The sequence below is a fragment of the Homo sapiens genome, chromosome 7 (assembly GCF_000001405.40).
Source record: "Homo sapiens chromosome 7, GRCh38.p14 Primary Assembly".
Classification (NCBI taxonomy): Eukaryota; Metazoa; Chordata; class Mammalia; order Primates; family Hominidae; genus Homo; species Homo sapiens.
In genome coordinates this window covers 92,710,039-92,731,440 of record NC_000007.14, presented here as the reverse complement: position 1 = coordinate 92,731,440, position 21,402 = coordinate 92,710,039, and the positions used below count along the sequence as shown (strand labels likewise).

General features: G+C 38.8%; 1 protein-coding gene across 3 annotated transcripts in view, besides 3 other annotated features; it reads left to right on the top strand.

Annotated features, from left to right (window-relative positions):
* Positions 1 to 21,402, top strand: part of CDK6 (cyclin dependent kinase 6) — a 231,653-nt gene that overhangs the window by 105,133 nt on the left and 105,118 nt on the right. For all 3 annotated transcript variants that reach the window (NM_001145306.2, NM_001259.8, XM_047419716.1), the window contains exon 4: positions 5,648 to 5,815. In NM_001145306.2, the coding sequence (NP_001138778.1) occupies positions 5,648 to 5,815 (168 nt within the window). The remainder of the gene's footprint in view (positions 1 to 5,647; positions 5,816 to 21,402) is intronic.
* Positions 7,006 to 7,562: an enhancer, noted in NCBI's record as "NANOG hESC enhancer chr7:92353193-92353749 (GRCh37/hg19 assembly coordinates)". NCBI's record gives its function as "activates a minimal SCP1, AML or CMV promoter by ChIP-STARR-seq in naive H9 embryonic stem cells {active_cell/tissue: H9 hESC(naive)}" and the evidence as "EXISTENCE:reporter gene assay evidence [ECO:0000049][PMID:30033119]".
* Positions 13,194 to 13,493: an enhancer, noted in NCBI's record as "active region_26270". NCBI's record gives its function as "activates an Ori minimal core promoter by ATAC-STARR-seq in GM12878 lymphoblastoid cells {active_cell/tissue: GM12878}" and the evidence as "EXISTENCE:reporter gene assay evidence [ECO:0000049][PMID:35858748]".
* Positions 13,514 to 13,563: an enhancer, noted in NCBI's record as "active region_26269". NCBI's record gives its function as "activates an Ori minimal core promoter by ATAC-STARR-seq in GM12878 lymphoblastoid cells {active_cell/tissue: GM12878}" and the evidence as "EXISTENCE:reporter gene assay evidence [ECO:0000049][PMID:35858748]".

Here is a 21,402-nt window from a genome sequence, read left to right as displayed (position 1 = left end):
AGCTCATGTGTGACTCTTTTAGCTTGCCAGTTAATGGCTTGCTTTGAATTCACCCATTACAACTTTCCAGGTGATATGGAAGTTTTAAGGAATCCTCTTGAACCCTCCTCTTGGTTTCTCAGAATTTGTTTGTCTTGTTCTTTGTGATTTTGGATGAAGCATTCTTTGGGTCCTCCTGAGGACCACAGTGAGAAGTAGGGGAGACCTGTTTATAAACAGCCTTTGAAGCTCATTGTTCATTGCTCATTGCAAATTGATCAATGAAAGCACACGGGAACCCTGTCAGGTTTTGAAATAGAGTAGAAGCTGTATACATACAGCAAGCTTGATGTGGGGACCTGCAGTGTAGATTCTCCCAGAATGCAGACAAAAGTGGGTGGAATCTCCAAGGAGTGAATCAAGCCACTTGGCTAACGCTTTAGGACCTTAACACGATGCTGTTAGTCACTATTTCATTGCTTAGGTAGCAACAATATACCACATTTTATGGGAGAACCATGGTTTTAAAACATTCTGGGAATAGATCCAGCAATTCCACTTCTGAGTATATATCCAAAAAAATTGAAAGCAGAGTCACAAAGAGATCATTCTACACCTGTGTTCATAGCAGCAATATTCACAGCAGCCAAAAAGTGGAAACTACTGAGGTGCCCATCTATGGATCACCAGATAAACAAAATGTCATATATACATACAATGGAATATTATTTAACCTTAAAGAGGAAGGAAATTATGATACACACCACAACATGAATGAACCTTAAAGGAACTATGTTAACTGAGGCGAGCCACTCACAAAAAGACAAATCCAGTGTGATTCCACATGTATGAGGTATGTAGAGTTGTCAGATTCATAGAAACAGAAAATAGAATGGTGGCTGTCAAGGACTGAGGGGAGGGGTACATGGGGAGACATGCGAGAGAAGTTATATGCAGGCTCAGGTGACCTTTCCCTCTGTTGCTATAATCGTAACCCTCACCTTAATTCAACATGTTCTTATTGGTTTAGTGTTAAAAAACCTTTGTTATATGTGATACATTTTAGTCTGTGGCCTCCTCTAACACACTTCATAGGAAACAGACAAACCACTATGGAGAGAGTTCTGTGAAAACTTGAATAACAAATTTGAAAAGACTGAGGTTTACAGAGTATAAGGAGAAAAATAGATTATCTTTGCCTACAAGTTGGATATGTCCTGTTTTTAATTTTTAAATAAACTGAGGATTATACATTTTTGGTGCTAAAACTTTGAGGATGTGAATATATCACAAGATATATCCCTATATCCAGAATTGTCTATTTAAAGTTGTCATTCTGTGACTTATGATATGACTTGGGTGTTTTTAGTGTCTTTTGGAAATAATCATACTTTCTTGTAATGAGAAAATAAGGCCCAGGCCAGGTGCAGTGGCTCACACCTGTAATTGCAGCACTTTGGGAGGCCAAGGCGGAAGGATTCATGGCTCGAGGCCAGGAATTCAAGACCAGCCTGGGCAACATAGCAAGACCCTGTCTCTACAAAAAGTTTAAAAAGTAGCCAGGCATGGTAACACACACCTGTAGTCCCAGCTACTCAGGAGTATTGTTTGAACCTAGGAATTAGAGGTTGCAGTGAGCTATGATATGATGGCACCACTGCACTCCAGCCTGGGTGGCAGAGCAAGACCCTGCCTCTAAAAAGAAAAGAAAAAGAAAAGAAGGCCCCATGATCAACCTTTTCCCATTAGAAAAGCCTGAAGTCGTTTTTTAGTTTGCTTGTTTGTCTTGATTTTAAATAAGAGGATTAGAGCTCTGGAACACCTAAGAGAAACAATTACAAGACTTCAAGGATTTCTTGTATTCAGAAAGGTCCAGAGTCTTTTTAGGGGCATTGCCAAGATAAAGCCCCACCTAAGATCTCTCGGAGCCAGACTTCATTCCACAATGGTGTCCTGTTGAAACATGCTTGCGAGTCGCATGTTTTAAAAAGATAGAGTGAGGGTCCCAAGTGACTGTTTATCATAAGTATGACTAAATGTTCAAACTTTTTATACCAGACTGTGCCGTATAACATAAAAAGGGAAACTTTTAAACCTGCGTTTAACTGAAAGAGCCTTAATTGGTGGTATCTGTAGTTTCATTGCATTGCATCACTAGGGTTACTGTGAAATATTTGAGTCATATATGGTACAGAATAATTTAGATTAAAATCTTGAGCTAATTTAAGAGTATGCCTCACGATACTATAAACTGAGATAGAACAGATCATAAGCTTACGTAGAGAGTCCTTTGAAATGTCTTTGATGAAAACACTTCTTGTGATTCTGTAGGAAAGGTGTTTTTTTCTTACCTCATTTAATGTTGTAATTTATTTATTTATATAATCCTCTGGAATTGGGACTATATCTTATGATTATTTGGGACCAGAGTTCCTGACGTAGCTGAATGTACTTCACCTTTGAAATTAGGTATTGCAATAAAGGTTGGCTAAAGACTGAGAGGGGTTCCCCAGTCATGCTTATTACAGGTTCACAATGCCCAACAACCTAACTCGTGGTTGAATTACTGAAGGTCATGAGATGTTGGGCAAGATTTTGTTTTTTAAGTCGTTAACTCAGTGTTCATTGGTTCAGAATTCCAATTGTGTCTAGATATTGGAGATTTAAAAGAAAAGCCATTTGCTAAACAAAAAAAAAATTTAAGTAGCCTAATAAAATCTAAAGAATGGTCATTCTTATGTAGAACCAACTTACATCTATAGGCATCATACACATGGAATCAACGTTAGTGCAGTCATGTGGATTCATACTGCCTAACCCATGCTTTGGTATGATATTAACAAGCCCTTTTAATCTACTCTACCTTTAAACAAACAAGAACTAGACCTGTAGTATAAGTGCCAAAGTAACACAACTAAAACTGAATAATAATAATTATGGCATGTCCCAGGGTGAAAAACCATGCAGCCATTAAAAATCTCATTGTATAAAAAAAGTCATATTGCAGAATTTTATTAGTGGCAAAATGTTGATAATGAATTGTTACATGTTTTTAAAAGAGCTACAAAATAATGTGTACAGAATAATAACCACTTTTACTTAAATATACTTATACATCCAAATATAATAAAATACGTAATTTTTAAAAGACAGACTAAAAAGACACAAAAAAAGTTATATTAACAGTGAAGTTTTCTCTGTTCTCCAAGTAGTGGAATTTTTTAGTGATTTTTCTTCTTCTCTGGATTCTTAAAACATTTTATTAGTTTCTGCATTAAGCATGCATCTATACATCTTAGCAATTTTATAATTAAGAAAAACATAGTGTGTGTTATAACACAAATAAAAACGATGTGCATGTTTTTAAATTTGTATACTGCTAATTGGCTGCTAAAGTTGTTTGAACACTGCAGCATGAACCAAACAGATTTATTCTTTATACTGTTTTAAATGAGTGACACTTAACTGTATAGAGGCTAAAGATGATGAGCCAACAGGACATTACTTTAGGTTAGTCATGCTTTTTAAAATTCAGTGCTTACAAGTTGTGTGCATGTGTTTCCAATAAAGACTTATTTGCCAAAATGTTCCTTGAACATTTTGTGCTACATTTTCACACTCCTGTTTATTCATTACAACTTATTGGACCTGCAGTGCTTCTCAAGTCTTGAAGGGCTTTTCCTCCCCAATGCAGTCTTCTCCAGGGTTTTGGGAAGCTTAGAAGGTCACCCCTGCCAGTTCAGAATATTCACTCAGGGGGATCTCAGAAATGATTCTAGATCACTGCATACCCCCTCTAAGTGCTTTGTTCACACCGACCTTGTAGCAGTGGTCATGTTTTCTTTTAGTTGTTTGTGAATCAGTCTCCCCCAGAAATCAGGACACTTATCTTGGCAATAATCATCCTAATAATTACTGTTTGTCAAGTGCTTACCATATGCCAGAAACTGTACAAGCACTTGGCATACATTACTTCATTTAGCCCCCTTAATAGTAGGAAAAGTAATCGCTACTTTCTCCACTTTATAAAAGGAAAAACTAAGGCTTTGGTTTTGAACAAGCTAAAATATAAAGACAGAACTCCGAACTCTAAAGGAAGAACCAAAACCATAAACCAGTAACCAAATATACTGTTCTCGATGAGAGGATTCAGTGGTCCGGCCAATGATAAGTGTATCCTCACAGCCCCTTCCAGCTCTGAAATCCATGGTGGTACCCAGTCATTTTTCTAACCCTTGTATTAACAAAACAGCTCCATCCTCCCTTGTATACACCATTCTTATAATATTTGGGTCAGGGGAGTAGGTCACTCTTAATTTCCACACATTTCAGAGGATTATGACATCATGGCCAATGTCTTAGTTCCTACCTTCAGACACTGTCCCTGAGTATTAAATCTTGTGTATATTTGTATTGGTCCTAAAATTAGAAAAAGATCTGATATTGGTTTATATCCTGAATGATCCGCTCCTCCATACTGGTTAATAATAACAGTAATAAGCGCTGCCATTTACTGAATATTAACTATGGTGCTAAGTGCTTTACAATGATCCTATGATAAAGTGGGCTTTGTTACTGTCCCATTTTACAGACAGGGAAACTAAGCCTTAGAGAGGTTAAATGGCTTGCCTTATTTTACGTATTCATTTGTTCATTGATTTGATAAAGGAATACATTGGAGATTTGAATCGAGGTTTTCCAGACCCTAGTTTAAATCAAGACTCTGTTAATATTCTAAAACAGTTGATTAAGACTGGGCATGGTGGCTCACACCTGTAATCCCAGCACTTTGGGAGGCTGAGGCAGGAGAATAGCTTGAGCCCAAGAGTTTGAGACCAGCCTGGGCAACATAGTGAGATCGCATCTCTGCAAAAACTAAAAACATTAGCCTAGCATGGTGGCATGCACCTGTGGTCCCAGCTACTTGGGAGGCTGAGGCAGGAGGATCTCTTGAGCCAAGGAAGTCAAGTCTGCAGGGAGCCGTGATCACAGCACTGCACTCCAGCCTGGGCAACAGAGCAAGATCCTGTTTAAAAAAAAACAAACAGTTAATCAGCACTCTCTTGCTAGTATGACTTTGGGCTAATTAGTAGCCTACATCTGTGTATCAGTTTCTTGACCTGTAAAATGGTGTAATGATATTATTTACCTAAATGTTGTGGTGTGGATTAAATTATTTACTAAGTGGACAATGCTTAGAATAGTGCTTGATATATAGTGAGTGTTTAGTACTAGGTGCTATAAAATAATAATCACCATTAATAACAATATTATTATTCACTGGATTTTAATTGTTGAAATGGCACATTAAACAATAGAGAAGCAAAAAGTGTCCCCTCACGACCTCCTCCTTCCTCTCCCCAGCATGAGCCACTGAAACCAGTTTGGCAGATATCCTTCCAGAATGTTTCCTATTCCATCAAAAACTATTTTAAAATTGTCCTTTCATTAATAAAATACAGGTTGAGAGTGAAATTTTTTGCAGTGTTCTTGAAAGTGTGGGAGTGGAAAGGCAGGAAGGGAGACAATTCACTCATTCAGCCAATACCTGTCAAATGCCTGCCGCATGCCAAGCAGCCACAAAATGCTAAGGATTCGGCGTCCAGCATAGCAAATGCTCAACTTCCGTTTTGAGTGTTTACTGATTTTCTTTTTTTAATTTTATTAGGATATGATGTTTCAGCTTCTCCGAGGTCTGGACTTTCTTCATTCACACCGAGTAGTGCATCGCGATCTAAAACCACAGAACATTCTGGTGACCAGCAGCGGACAAATAAAACTCGCTGACTTCGGCCTTGCCCGCATCTATAGTTTCCAGATGGCTCTAACCTCAGTGGTGAGTGAGAGAGTGCTGTCCTTTTATTAAACTTATTTTTCCTATTTTGAATGACAGTCTGTCCCTCTTCCATGTCTCTAATGTTAGTACTGCCCATGACTAGTTGGTGGATAGAATGTCTTTGCCCATTTTTATATGGCAGTGGGTAGGCAGAAAGCATTCTGCTTACAGCTACAGTCACATCCAGCCTGGGCTTGTTGTGGACAGGATCCATTGCAGAAATAGCCTGTTGCATCTTAGCCACTGGACAGGAATCAGTTACAAGTTTCCAAATGCTTTCTGCCATAACCACTGTTTTCAGAGCTGTATGTACAATGCCTAGGGAACACACAGCTCAAGGTCAGGGAAGAAAGAGCACGAGCAACGTTGACCTGTCTGCAGCATCATGGTTTTGAGAAACAGAGTGCCTACACAGGTTTGTTAATGCACTCATCTGAAGCTATGGTGCCAGCTGTAAAGAAGAAATCAAATTCACAGTGAACTTGGATGATGCATGAACGTAGAGCACCGCCATGCCAGGTGAAGGCTCATATAACCCTGAATAGAAAGAGCGAACCCAACGGCCCTGTTTTGGCAAAAAATAACAGTTATGATACCCTGTTTCTTTTTGCCATTCAGCTGCAAAACCATAATAGCTATTGACATTGGTTAGCTTCTATTTCTCCATATAGTTCATTATTTCTCAGATGGATTTTTGTGAAATTCTGCACCCCAAATACAAAAAGAGCAGCCTGGAAATAGGTATTAATACCCTTCTCTTTGAAAGACCTGTTTTGCATACAGTAAATTCATGCCTTACGTACAGTAAATTAAATAAATAATATATAGCAAATTAAGTCTTAAGAAAAAGAATTTTAAAAAAGAAAATATCTTTGTATATTCAAAGAAATAAAAAAAAATAATCCGTATTGTCCATCTTTAGCCTCAAAGTGGTTCTCACATCAGGGACAGCATGGCCCTGTTGTTAAGTAATGATTGGCAACATCTTTGGTCATTCTGCACAGCAAAAAATTGTTTCCCTAAATTTCAGTAATACTACAGCTGATAAGTAGAAATTCAAGAGAGGAGTTAGAAATTCTCTGAGACAGATAACTTGCCTTAGGAAAAAATCCAATTTATAAAAGTGTTCCCCACCCCCTGCCCCCAGTCAAAATAGGGGTGCTACCACCTAGACACGTAAGACCAGTTACTTTCCAAACATTATAGACTTTTCCTAGGGCATCAGAACTTTTGATGCAGAGGATTCCTTGGAAAATGTTGCCATTGTTAGAAGATAAATCCTACTCATTTCCTCTTTGCCCAGCATACACCATTGCTTTAGAGGAGAAATGGCACGAGTTGATGTTTAAAAGATAGGCCTCAGCTTTGAGCACGGTCAAGCAAGCCCTTGTATTCTTATGTAATCACACCAGAAAGGGCTGAGTCTGTGTATTTCCCCAGTGGGAAGGGTGAGGTAGGCTTTGAGTTTCCCTAGGAAGTTGTTGCGCATGTTGTTTTGGGGCCCTGGGGAGAAGCTTGAATAGGCTTTGTGATCCAGAGAGTCATCAGGGGAGTAGATGGAAGGAACTTGTCTCCTTGGGTACGTTAATTGAAGGAAGGATAAGCTGTAACTGAGATGGACGCTTTTATTTTAATCCCCCCAAATGGGCACTAATAACCATAAATAAAAACAGGAAACCCAGTTGGTTTGTGTTTGATTTTTTTTTTTTTTTTTTGCTTATTAAATTTGAGCTTGTGCGTAACATCAATTAACATTCCATTCTTGCTGAAAGTTGATATGTTCAAACAGGAAAATGTAGACAAATTATTTCATAGAGGAAAAGGAGAAAGGCAGTCATAAATACACAATTTTTCAGTATCTAGTTTATACTGCATGCTTTATATTTCCTATAGTGACATAAGTAAAACATGTTAGCAGCTGAGAAGGATTCTAAAACAAAAATCAGACTTTATTGGAAAGAGTGACGGTTGGAATTTAATGGTAATAATAAAGGGTATGTTCCTACAGGGTACTGCATTTTAAAATTTCCCCACTCTTTTGTATTTTTCTATTTAAAGGAAATACCCATTTAATATAGTAATGCGTCGATTTATATACACATGGTGACATAAAAACTTGGAATCATAGTTTTTTAGACTGAACTGGTATGTATTTTTAGTGTCTCTTGAAGAGAAAAAGACTACACTCCTCTTCCTGGAAATACACATTTTTTAGTGGGTTATGTCATACAGGAACTGAGAATCAACTTAATTTGTGGAATGTTAAAGGAATTACAAGTTAACTGATTCAAAACTGACATCTTAAAACTATGAGAAATGCTAGTATTTTACTTACCTTGCAAAGCCTGACTCCAGAGGTACCCTTTCTAGTATCCCCTTCAGAAATTAATTTCTTTTTCCTCTCTGTTTCCAGAGTAATATTTTGGGTTTTTTTGTTTGTTTTTGTTTTTGAGACAGAGTTTCACTCTGTTGCCCAGGCTGGAGGGCAGTGGCCCTATCTCAGCTCACTGCAACCTCTGCCCTCCGAGTTCAAGCGATTCTCGTGTCTCAGCCTCCCAAGTAGCTGGGATTACAGGCCACCCCAGGCTAATTTTTGTATTTTTAGTAGAGGCAGGGTTTTGCCATGTTGGCCAGGCTGGTTTTGAACTCCTGACCTCAAGTAATCCGTCCTCCTCAGCCTCCCAAAGTGCTGGGATTACAGGCATAAGCCACTGTGCCCAGCCTATAATACTGTTTTCTGTCTTGTTTTTAGTTATTTGGGAATTTTATTTATCAGGCCATAAGTTCCTCGAAGGCAGATGCTCATCTTATTCAGCCCTAACACACAGTGCCTTGTTTATTTTGATAGGCACTCAGGAAATATTTTTCAGTGAATAAATTGACAAATGCTGACTTGCAGATATAAGCAGTTGAGTCATAACAGGAATAGAGAAGGAGCTATGTTATACATTTAATGGTCTCATTTGATGTGTGTCAATATTCCTCATAGCTACCTGGTAATATTAAGCTGAAGGACTTACTCCATATACCTTAAAATGGCTGAGTCCATTTTGCACCCTAGTCCTGATTGATTTATTGGCAGCACATATCTGTGTTCAAAATCATGAAAGCTATTAATACATGCTGTAGCTCAATCTCAAGTTAGGAGTGAAAAGTTGACGCAAACCCAAGTTCACAGTCTGTGTATTGTTTTTATCATAATCCTTTCTACTGCCTCAGGAACAAATTACATATATGAATTGAACTTCCTGTCCTGAACAGAAAGCTGTAGAGATAGAGGAATGTAGCATTATTGTAATTTTACTTATTTGAAGACTTTCTTTAGCCCCTTGTGTTTTGTTATTAAAGCAAGTTTTAGAAGAGGAGTCATATTCTTCTAAGATAATTAACATCCTCTAAATGAAAGAATGGGTGAATTACTAGACAACTTTTACTATCTATGTTAATATATATATATTTACATAATAAATGATATTTCTATTTGAACAATTATAAAAGCTTGTATTATTAGCTTCTTTCTGAAAACTTCAAAATGTTCTTACATATAGAACTTTGAGGGAGCAGTTAACAGTATTTATTTTCATTTTAAGTTCATGATCACCTGACAGATCCTGAAGTACTACTTCTCCTTAATTTCTGAGCCAGTATGCTCTATGCCAGTATTCAAGACAAGGCATCTTTTGGATTAATTGAGAAATTAGTTGTTCTAGACAGGTAAGCTTTCCAGGCATCTTAAGGTATAACCCTTTATATTATGATCTTTATTATTTTATTTTTCTAGTGAAAACAAGTTTCTTGTTAAGAAACACGAGTTTCATAAGTAGAATATACTTCATATGTTGGCCTTTGGTAGAAATTAATTTAGGACAGTAGCCTGGACCATAGTTGTAGCTGTAGGTGGTATGCAACATCGGGCTGAATGACTTATCTTGTCCTCATCTGATAAATTGAGGACTAATCAAAGAGTTAAATGTCTTTTGCCTAACTTTGCCAGGCTGCCTCCAACATGACATTCTGGTGTCTTTATGGGGTATTGGGTTCTTGCTGCTCAATATAGTGTCTTGTATGCACATGTACCCATACAGAGTATTATACCTTTTTCTTTAAAGGTTGTAGAATTAAGATGTGGATGGTAACAGTGTTTGCCTTGGTCCTAGGCAAGAGGGGCCCCTGACCTGGATCTCATGCTTTAGAGAAGCCTACACTGGCCCTACTCCAGCCTTGTCTCCCTTCATGGAGCACACAACCCAGGGTGCCAAGGAAGCATGTCTCTTGAGACCTCCACCCCTGCCCCATACCGCACACAGGACATTGCAATTCCCTGACTAAATGGGAAGGGCATGGGCTCATCCTTCCTCCTAATAGGGATTTTGCCACTTGTGTGTTCACTCCTAAGCCTAGGGGCAGCTGTTTGCAGCATATGGGCAGAGCTTGGACTTGCAGACTGGAGTGTCCGTAAGCATGTGTATGAGGCCCCTTGTGGTTCAAAGAAGGAGTTGGAAATGTGAAGAGAAGTGGGGCCTGTTATATTTAACACCTGGCATGGGTTATTTTTATCAGAAAAGTTTCTCTGAAACCATGAAAAATTAACTTCTCTGACCTCTATTGAACTATTACATTTGTTCTCATTGGAAAACCAATGAGAACAGGTTACAGGGAAGTTCTTTCCATTGTACATAGCTGATAGGTAAAAATCATGACATGTGAAGTTATATAATGTCTCTGGCAAAAGTGTTTCAAGAATATACACCTGTTCGGTACAATGACTGTTGTGACTAGCTGAAACTATATTTAGAGTCACTCTGAAGTCAACATTTCTAAGTCCTTCTCATGTGAAATGTAGTGCATGGTGCAACTTATTTTTGTGAAGATAAGGGAAAAAGAGACCAGCCACTCAGCCAGCAATTTCAGTCCTACCTCACTGTGCACCCGGGTCTGACATGTCTTAGAGCAGAGCCAGGAACATCATCAGCAGCCCTGGTGAGGGCTCTGACAGTCATGAAGCACTGTGACCAGCAAGCTCAGGAAGGGAGCAGTCTTGTCTTCCCATTTATGATGCAAAATCTTTAATTTTTTTTCTAAACCTAATCATACAGCTTGGAGGGTGATATTGTTGCCATTGGATTTGGTGCTCTTGGAACTCTTTATCAACCATTTCATTTTGAAAAGTGGGGAAACTGCCATTCAAACAGGCAGTGTGACCAGCTTAAGTCTGAATTTACCAAATAGATTGTAAATGGCTTGGAGAATTCTAATGTTTATATTCTGGCTCTGGCCCACTATCCCCACTCCTCTTTTCTCCATACCAAAAATTCAGTACCCAAGAGGGTATCAAACTGTGTTCTGTGGAACTCTCAGATTCTACAAAGGGTATTTAGAGGTTCCACAAATGTTTAGGAGTCCATTTTTAAAGAATATTTTTTAAGTCTTGTTAAAATAATAAAACCAAAAACAGACAACTAGCTCATGCCACATTTTGACACAGTGAGGAACACTGGGTCATGAACTGGTGCCTCCTGGTTTTCTTTTTTTATGTAGACCTCAATAAAACTTTTGCCACATTGTGCACCTGAATGTCTTATAAAAGTATCATTGCTTAGGAAAAATGAAGCATTCTCTTGATTCAGTCCTATCTGTGTCCTCTCCCTTAAAATCACCCAAGTCCATAATTGCAACAGCACATTCATTGTGCTGCTCTCAGTGTACATGGGAATACTGTAAGGACCACCCAAGGCAATGCCAGTATTGATGTTTTTATACCACAGGTGATTGCCAACACCCAGGCAGTTAGAGCCAGCCACTCCCCAGGACAGCCATCATAAAGCCATCCGTGGGTAGAGAGAAGTGTACCCTAAAATGAGGTCATTCTTTTTGGTACCTCAGTATCTTTGTATTTTTGGGGCCTTTATACAATCATTTAATGCTATTCATGAAGTTAGCATTTTTCCTTCAAATGCCTGTGCCAAACACACCTGTATAGTTTAGAGAAACATTCCTCTTTGTACCATAATGGAAGAGTGGGAGTATGTTCCCATCTTTTTAGTGACTTAATAAAATTCTCACTAAGTGAATTATATTCTCTTTCTCCAAGAATCTTTTTTTCCATATTACCTTCACTAATAAAAGATATACATGTTCTGAAAACACCCTTTATTCCATAGAAATTACAAAAAGACAACAAGTAAATGTTAAACATGAGAAGACTTTTATTCGACAGCTGTACAAAGTACAAAACTTAATTTTGGAAATTTTTTTTTAAATCTGTAACTGATAAGATTCCCAATATTGCTTTATTTGAGATCATTAACTTATTTAATACCAGAAGTATTACAAAAATTGCCAGGGAAAGCATCAGGAAGAATAGCTAATGAATACTGGACTTGATACCCAGGTGATGGGATGGTCTGTGTAGCTGACCACCATGGCACACGTTTACCTATGTAACAAACCTGTACATCCTGCACATGTACCCTGGAACTTAAAGTTGAAGAAAAAAAAATTACTTACATCCCCTTCCTGTGCCTCTGATGATATTCCTTCCTTACTCTGACCTCAGTGTTGATAGCATTTAGTAACACTAACGGAACCTCGTGGATTCAGAAACTTTGATAAGCCTAGGGGAGAAAATCAATGAAATGGAGTTGTGGCTTTCAGTCAACAAATAATTACTGATCACTTTCTATGTGCAGACGCTGTCAGTGAAGCTGAGGGATGATGGTGAATGGAAATGGACAAGGTCAGAGAGCTTACAAGCGAGATGGAGAGATAGATCTGAATCAGATAGTCACACAAAGAAATGTCTAGTTAGAAACAGAGATAAATGCAATAAAGGAAAGGGATATGGTTTTATGAGGCCATATGATAAGGCTCAAGAACCTGCCTAGGCTAAGGGCCAGGGAAGCCCTCCCTCCTTACCCAGGTCAAAATGTGGGATGCTTAAAGAGGTCACCAGCATCCTCCTGTTGAACGCGCCTGGATGTGGGCCCTGTGAATGTGCGCGTCATGCAATTCGTGCTTGGGGTGTGTGTGTGTGTTTGGAATAACTCATTCCACGGCACCCAGTTGGCACCACCAAGTGACAAAGTGAAGCAGGACCAGAGATCGGAGAACAATGTCATCTTTTACAGGAGAAAATAAATTGTTTATGCTTGTTTCCTCTTCGTGCGTGTTGTATTTACTATGGAGACCTGGCAGGGTTTGTGCCTCGGCTTGGGCAGCCGAGTAGCTCCCACAGAAGCCTCCAAAAGCTGCCAGTGCATACTGAATAAATCAAACCAAGAACATTACATGAGTATAATGGAAAAAACCCAAAGCCCCGTCGCCTCGGCACCTCAGCGAAAGTGCAGGACACACCTCTGAAGCAGGAAGGGCTCCTGTGACTCCTTCCCCTCTCAACATCTTGCCATGACACAACCAGGTCTGTTTTGTTAAAACATCCAGTTGCCAGTACATATTTCATAGTTAACAATGGAGGGTTTGTGCCGGTTTCGTTTTCACTTTCACCAGTGAGGGAAGTGGAACACAATGGGGGCAGTGCACAGAGCTGGGAACAGGACACGTTTTCTTTAGGATTCCCAGGGCTGGGTACATGGAAAATGCCAGAGCCAAAACAAACATGAAAACCCATCCAGATTCTCCACTGCGCGTTCTCAGTGGTAATAAAACACATTTGAGTTACCATCTGATAGGTTAGCTCTGCCTCCACGGTGAAGGCAAATATCGATGACCACTGTGAGAATTTCTGCCATGTAGAAAGAGAATGTATTCCATACTGCACAGAAAGCTGCTGTTGGTGCATGTGCATGCATGTGGCTATCTAATTGCACCAAGTGGATTTGCGAAGTGAATCAAATGACTGATTCCCTTGTTTATAAAAGATAGTCATTCATTTGACTCACCTAATTCTAGCTCCTTCATAAGTGGTCACTGTTGCGAATTAGTTCTGGACAAAAACAGTTCAACTGTAATGCTACTGCCTGGAGGATGTTTTACTCGGAGAAAGAGCCAGAAGTTCCTTGCTTTTTTCCTACATTTGTTCAGCCAGCATCTATCAGGGTATGATACAGAGAATCTGGTTGTCTGTCTTTCTTTCTTTCTTTTTCTTTTCTTTCTTTCTTTTTCTTTTCTTTTCTTTCTTTTCTTTCTTTCTTTCTTTTTCTTTCTTTCTTCTTTCCTTTCCCTTCCTTTCTTCCTTCCCTCCCTCCCTCCCTTCCTTCCTTCCTTCCTTTTTCCTTTCCTTTCCCCTTCTCCTTCCCCTTTCCCTTTCCTTTCCCCTTTCCTTTCCTTGACCAGGTCTTGCTGTGTCGTCCAGGCTAGAGTGCAATGGCACAGTCATAGCTTAGTGCAGGCTCCAACTCCTGGGCTCAAGCCATCCTCCTGCCTCAGCCTCCCAAGTAGTAGGACTACAGGTTCACACCACCACGCCCAGCTACGTTCTTTTTTTTTTTAAGAGATGGGGGTCTCATTATGTTGCCCAGGCTGATCTCAAATTCCTCAAGCAATCCTCTTGTCTCAGCCTCCCAAAGTGCTGAGATTACAGACATGAGCTACCATGCCTGGGCCTGTTTTTCATACGGACACCCTATATGATGCCATTCAAAATCTCAAAAGCCTGAGGCCAAACTGGATATAAAGACTAAGCATTGTCTTAAGATTAATGAGACCATATGCTTCAGAAAGTTTTTCAAGTAAAGGGCTTCTCAGGGATCCAGAAGATGAAAAAACATTTTGCCTCCTACATTTAACATTTTTGGGAATATGCCTCTGTGCTAGTTTAGGGGCTTCTCTGAAGAGTTCTATTTAATGAGATAATTCCATCTCCCCTAAATTTGCTTAACTCAACGCAAGTGTTATATTCATACTCATAGGAGTATGAGACATGGTCCTTGGAATTGAATATAAAGCAACATTTCAATAATTTGGATTTTTGTGTCCTCTTTAATTCTTTGGACACGTGAGCTGCTTGTATTTTAGAGCTGTCACTGCTTCCTTTTAAGGAAAGGAGAGGTGGCAATATTTTGCTTAGGCTTTGATAATATCATAGTGTAAGTTTCTGAGTCAAGATAATGTTTCTCAAATTCTGTAACATTGGCCATATCCATTTTTATTCACTCAGTCCAAATAATGTATTTTAGCATTTCCTACAGTGCCTTCCTTGCACGAGGTGGGCACTTGAGTACATGGTGAATGAATGAATGAATCCTTACGATTCTCCAGTGCCTAGAGAATGAACTGTAACTCTACAGCATGGCATACAAAGTTTTTTGAAGCTCAGCTCCAACCTACCTTTCTGTCTTTCCATCGCTTCTACCCAAAGTGGTAAGCACATAACATAAGCACATATTCTTTATCAGTTTTTCACTATTCTTTGAACTTAATTGCTTTCACAACTCCCTGCTTTTACAAATGAATCAATGAATGGATTTCCTACTCTGCATTCTCCATGTTGCTGCTTGTGTCATTGCATCATCAATTATAAGCATCCAAAAAAATTTTTTTAATTTGTTTTAGACACAACTTTCAACTAATCTTCCCAATTGCCTGCGTCACTCCTTGATAATAACTTGAGCTCTGAGGGAGTAACATTTACACTTTGAATGTGTGTCTGGGCAGCCATTCATAACCTTCAGATAATTATTGTGCTTCATCCCTCTTTATTTGAGATCACAAACCTTGCCAGATCTCCTGACTTGTGCACTTAGATGTTCTGTATGTTATGCTTTTATTTTAAAGCTAAGATCCCTTGGGATCTTTGGAGAAACCATAGTGTCCCAAGAAGGGGTTGAAAATCTCTGCATTGCAGTTTCCCTTAGTCATTTTATCTAGTCCATTTGGGTCCTTGAGAAGATTAAATTTATGATCCTGTTATCTGTGTAGGTCTCTCCAAAAGTTGAGCTCAGACTTTTATACAATTACTTTGTAGTGCCGGATTTTCTGATGCATTTATTGACTTTATTGCTAATCTTCCCAATGCATTTCTAAATGATAGTCTTTGGCTGCTGAACCATTCCTCTTATTGCTCCTGCTTTCTGCTTTCCCCCTCTCTAGGGATTGAAACCCAGGGTGAGTGACATTGTTGCACCCAGCATCTATCTACAAGGATACTGATGATTTTTAAATCCTTCATAAATTTGAATGTTGAACTTTACTGTTGGCTGTGGAGGAATAATCTACCTTCAAATCTCAGGGAAACATCCAAAAGAGAAAAGGGGAAAGCGTAGGAGAATTTACTTTAGCGCTGCTCATATATTTATTTTGAAGGCTGGCAGAATCTAAAAATGGGGCTGTAAATTTAACAGCTCAACCATAAAAACCCCAAAATAAGGGAGAAAAAGCTCTACTACTTCAGGTTTGGATACTGATATAAAGTTACAAGATTCATTTTCCTCTTCTGTCTTAAATTCTTTTTAAAAAATTTCTAGCACTGTCCTTCCCTTTCTTTTTTCCCATTTCGATTTTTAATAATTACTTTTTTAAATGTTACCAATGCTTTGAAATGTACGGAAGTGTTTTATAAATACATGGCTGGCATATTTCAGTTGATAGATTTCATGGTGACGTTAAATACTATCTGCACCTTATGTAACGCTGGATGATTTCAGTGAGGTAGGGACTGCACATGGTATCAGTTCTTGTGGGAAAATATGCTTCAGTGGCTTACTGGCACTGGTTTTGGAATGTGGCATTTAAAAGTACCTTTTTACAGTGGGAAAGAATTCTGTCAAGAATAAACAGTCTGACCTTGTTAAATGGGCCAAAGTCTGTCTGTAACCTAGTTCCAGAAAACTAGCTTTTACTAGTTTAGAAAAAGCAGATTAGAAAAAGAAAAAAAAAAACTGTAAAACTTTTATAAAGTAAAGCATTTAAAAGCTACTATCAAGAATGTGAAATAAATTCCTAAAATGATGGTCTTCACATATATTCATGAGAATGTCCTTACCTGTCTATAAAATCCCATTTTTGCAGAATGGATGAAAGATCAAGACTACAGTTAGTCAGAAAAGGAGATTTTCTTTTTCCTGGAAAGACAAGACTGGCATGTAGAAGGGAGCTGTGGGAACAGCCATACAACATGGACCACTGTGGGAAACAAGCCCGTTTGGGGAGGTGAAGGAGTAAAAATTCCCAGTGACTCCCCATTGCCCACACACTCAAGTCTGTATACTCTGAGCTCCGGAATGCAGCAGTCAACTGTTCCTAACCTTTCTCTCCATTCTTGCTTTCCCACCCACACCAAACCCATCTCCACACACCCTATGATCTTGCTATCCAGACCTTTTTGCTCCTTCTTGAAAAATCATGCCATTAGATTTTATGCTTCCGTGTCACTAAACATTCTCTCTGCTTAGATTGCCTTTCCCATTCCCAGCCTAACAATCTCCTACTCATTCTTCAAGACTCAGATGCCATCTCTGAAGTCTGCCCAACTCCCCAGGATAAAGTTAAGTACCTACCCTCCCGTGCACTTTTGATTTGCCTGTAATATAGTAGTTCTCATATGGTAGTATCCCCATTTGTTTGACTTCTGTCTTCTATTTTTAAAAGATTAACATTGCAAAATAGCCATTTCAGCACTTCAGGTAACAACACACAGGCACATGGTAGCTGCTCAGTGAGTGTTTATAGAGTATATGTGGGTGGTAAAATAGGAGGTTTCTGAGTAGAGGAGGTAGAGGAGGACTGAGGTTGGGAAGGGATGCTGTTCTTTAAATATTGACTTCCCTGAAAGGTGCCATTGTGGTTTGTATCTGCATCCATCTTGAAATTTAAACACCAAGAATTAAACTTATTTTGTTAGTCACTTTCATTGCTAAAATCTTGTGTTTATATTTAGAAGATATTCTGGAAAACCAAAGTTACTGCATTTTACACAAATGCATGACTAGTCAGCTGGTTGGATATTGTCAAGAGTGCACAAGATCTCAGTGATACTAGTTCTTTTTTTTTTTTTTTTTTTTTACTTTTTTTAAATTTTGAGGACTTAAAACAAATTGACTTGGTATTTAAAGTTATATTTCTTCAGCTTTCAGTACAGAGCAACAGAGTAAATGGAAGCTTAATCAGTGATACTCATTCTAATCATAACCACTTTTAATGTTAAATGACTAATTTATCAATATTAATTTAAGTCAGGGAACATTTTTAATGGAGTTGTAATAGAAACCAAATCTTGGGTTCAAAAAACCAATATAGCTTTAATAAAACTGCATAAATGTTTTAAAAATCAAATATGTAAAATCAAGTAATTTGCATATGGGCTTTGGCAAAGTTTTTCAAAAGCTGCCTATGCATTTAAAATATGATTTACTAGATTAAGATGCATTTTAAAAGACTTTACAGGTTTATGTATATTATGTAAAACTACTTATACTGTCTGGCCACTGTAGTTTTTACTTGATATACATTCAAAAATATTGTATTAGGAAAAGCCACAGATAGCCCATTGTGAATTGTAAAGTGTTAATGTCAACCGGGCGCAGTGGCTCACACCTGTAATCCTAGCACTTTGGGAGGCTGAAGCAGGCAGATCATGAGGTCAGGAGTTCGAGAGCAGCCTGGCCAATATGGTGAAACCCCGTCTCTACTGAAAAAATACAAAAATTAGCCAGGTGTGGTGGCGCATTCCTGTAGTCCCAGCTACAGGCTGGGGCAGGAGAATCGCTTGAACCCAGGAGGCGGAGGTTGCAGTGAGCCAAGATCACTCCAGCCTGGGCAACAGAGTGAGACTCCATCTCAAATAAATAAATACATACATACATACATACATACATACATACATACATACATACATAGGATTAATGTCTAAAGAAGAGAGAAACTCACATGTTCTTATACCCAAACTGTCCACTGTCATGCCTTTTATTGGCAAGTAGATGTTAAAAATGTAGCACAATATTTAAGATTTTGACAAGATTGAATAGTCCATTTAAAGTAAGAAAAGCTTTCAAGAGTGACCTCAGCAATTTTACACAAGTTGAAATAAAATCTTGTCTTTATCTTTTCTTTGTATTTATTGTTCTATCTTTATTTCTATAACGACTTCTTGGTTTTAGGATGTGGGGCTGAAAAACTGCATTTAAAGGTCATGTTGCTGCTACTATATGCACAGTACAATTTGTATTTTCCATCAGCTTATCATTTGTAATTTTTGTACTCCTGTTTTTAAAGGCATCAAATTTTTTCAATAGTCGATTGTAGTTCTCAAGTATTGTTAGTCCCATAATATTTTAGAAAAATAAGATATTCATCAATTGCTTTATTTTTAATTCACATGCATTTACTCAGTAATTTTGTTTTTAGAAATTTGGTCTTAGTAGACAATTTTTTAGAGAGAAATAGCCCCATTTATAAGATAGAGTTCACCAAATCCAGTGGCATTTTTTGCAGGTTCTTCCACATTCCCTTTGTAGCATTTGTATATGCGAGTCCCCGCTCCCTTAAACTCTCATGGTTCTTTTTTTTTTTTTGGGACGGAGTCTTGCTCTTTCACCCAGACCAGACTGCAGTGGCGCTCTCTCGGCTCACTGCAAGCTCTGCCTCCCGGGTTCACAGCATTCTCCTGCCTCAGCCTCCTGAGTAGGAGGCTAATTTTTTGTATTTTTAGTAGAGACAAGGGTTCACCGTGTTAGCCAAGATGGTCTCGATCTCCTGACCTCGTGATCTGCCCGCCTCAGCCTCCCAAAGTGTCACGGTTCCTTCTTCAGTTTTTTTGTCTGCATTCTTTGTTCATTGCTAAAATTATTTTAAAATTTGAACATTCCACCAGTGTGGTGGTTAACGCATGTAATTCCACCACTTTGGGAGGCTGAGGCGGGCAGATTGCTTGCACCCAGGAGTTTGAGACCAACCTGGGCAACATGATAAAACCTTGTCTCTACAAAAAATAAAAAAATTAGCCAGGCATGGTGGTATGTGCCTGTAGTCCCAGCTACTTGGGAGGCTGAGGTGGGAAGATCGCTTGAGCCCAGGAGGTAGAGGTTGCAGTGAGCTGAGAGATCATGCCACTGCACTCCAGCCTGGGTGACAGATAGACACTCTATCTTAAAAAAAAAAAAAAAAAAAAAAAAAAAAAAATTTGACCATTCCAGGTAGGTAAAAAAATGAAAAGGGAAAATCCTCAATGATCCTTCCTTCCAGAAAAAAAGCCACTATTAACAGTTTGTTAAATGAACTTTTATATTTTTTGCTACTTGTATACAACCCTCAGTATGGGTGTGCATGAGGGTGGATGTGGATGTGCCTATAATAGTATACATACAGGTTTTCTGTTTGTTTGGGATTTCTTGTTTACTTGTTTCCATTTATTTATCCTAGGCATTTTGTCCATATCTAACATATATTAGCCTGTTATTCTTTTTCTTACTTTCACTGTGTAAATTTACATAATATTTTTACCCAGTCTCCCAGGATGAACACTTGGGTGGTTTCTCATTTTTTGGCTGCAGTGAACATCTTTGGGCTTATGTTTTTTTCACTGAAATACTAATTTCTTTTAGGATAATTATTTAAGAAATGGTACTACCAGGACAAAGGACAAAGAATGCACATTCAAAAATTTGATAATGCCAAATTGTTCTCCAAAAGGGTTTCAGCTCCTACTCCTGCACTCCTTAACTGAATGTGAGAGAGCTCACTGCTTTGTCTCTCCTGAGTGCCTCTGGCCATTGCCTTTGCTGGCGCTTTCTGCTCTTCCTGTCCTCTAATAAAGCATCCAGCATGTTCTGACTTCAGCCCTTTCTGTGTCTGACTCAGGTCCATGGCTGTAACTTTCATCTCCGTGCAGAGGTGTCCAAGTCATCCGTCTGCCCGGGTCTCCTCTGAGTATCAGCCCTCATCTCTGCTTTTCCCCACCTCTCCATCTGGTGTTCCATGGCAGTAGAAACAGATCATAACAAAAAGATCACTCATCAGCTTCTCCTTTCCTAGGCAATTCTGCTTTGGTCTCCTTTGTTTAACTTCATTACTGGTAATCACCAAAGCTAGAATCTTCAGATTTTTTTCTGGACCCATTTATAGCATCATATATTTAGTTACAAGTACAAAATATCCAATCAAAGTGTCTTGAATAATAATAACGTTTAAATCTGATATAAGAAGTCTGGAGATAGGTAATTCTGCAATTGGTGCTGTTGCTTGATGGTATCATCTTGGTTCCGATAACCGAATATTGGGAAAATACCATTCCTTCTTCTTTGGTTAGTTGAGAGTGTCATCCCTCAGGGCCTCAAGATGGCTGCCACAACTTCAAAAGCATTATATCACATACAACAGTATTCTAAGCAGTAGGTGAGGAAGCAGGGGCCAAAAAGGGTTTTATTGTCTCTTTAATCAGGGAAGACAATCTTTTCCAAAAGCTCTTTTCAAACTTCCACTTTAGGTTTCATCACTCATAATTGAATCCCGTACCTACCCATTGACCAATCAGTCTGTAGATAAGCATATTGCTACCCAAAAGAAAATCAGGTTATGCTAGCCAGGAAAGCAGGGGATGGCTGTTGGGTGAACAACGAATGTACAGGCCCTTCATTAGTCTAGAGATACACCCCCACCAAGGCAGCAGGGCCACTGTATAGGTAGGAACATCTGCT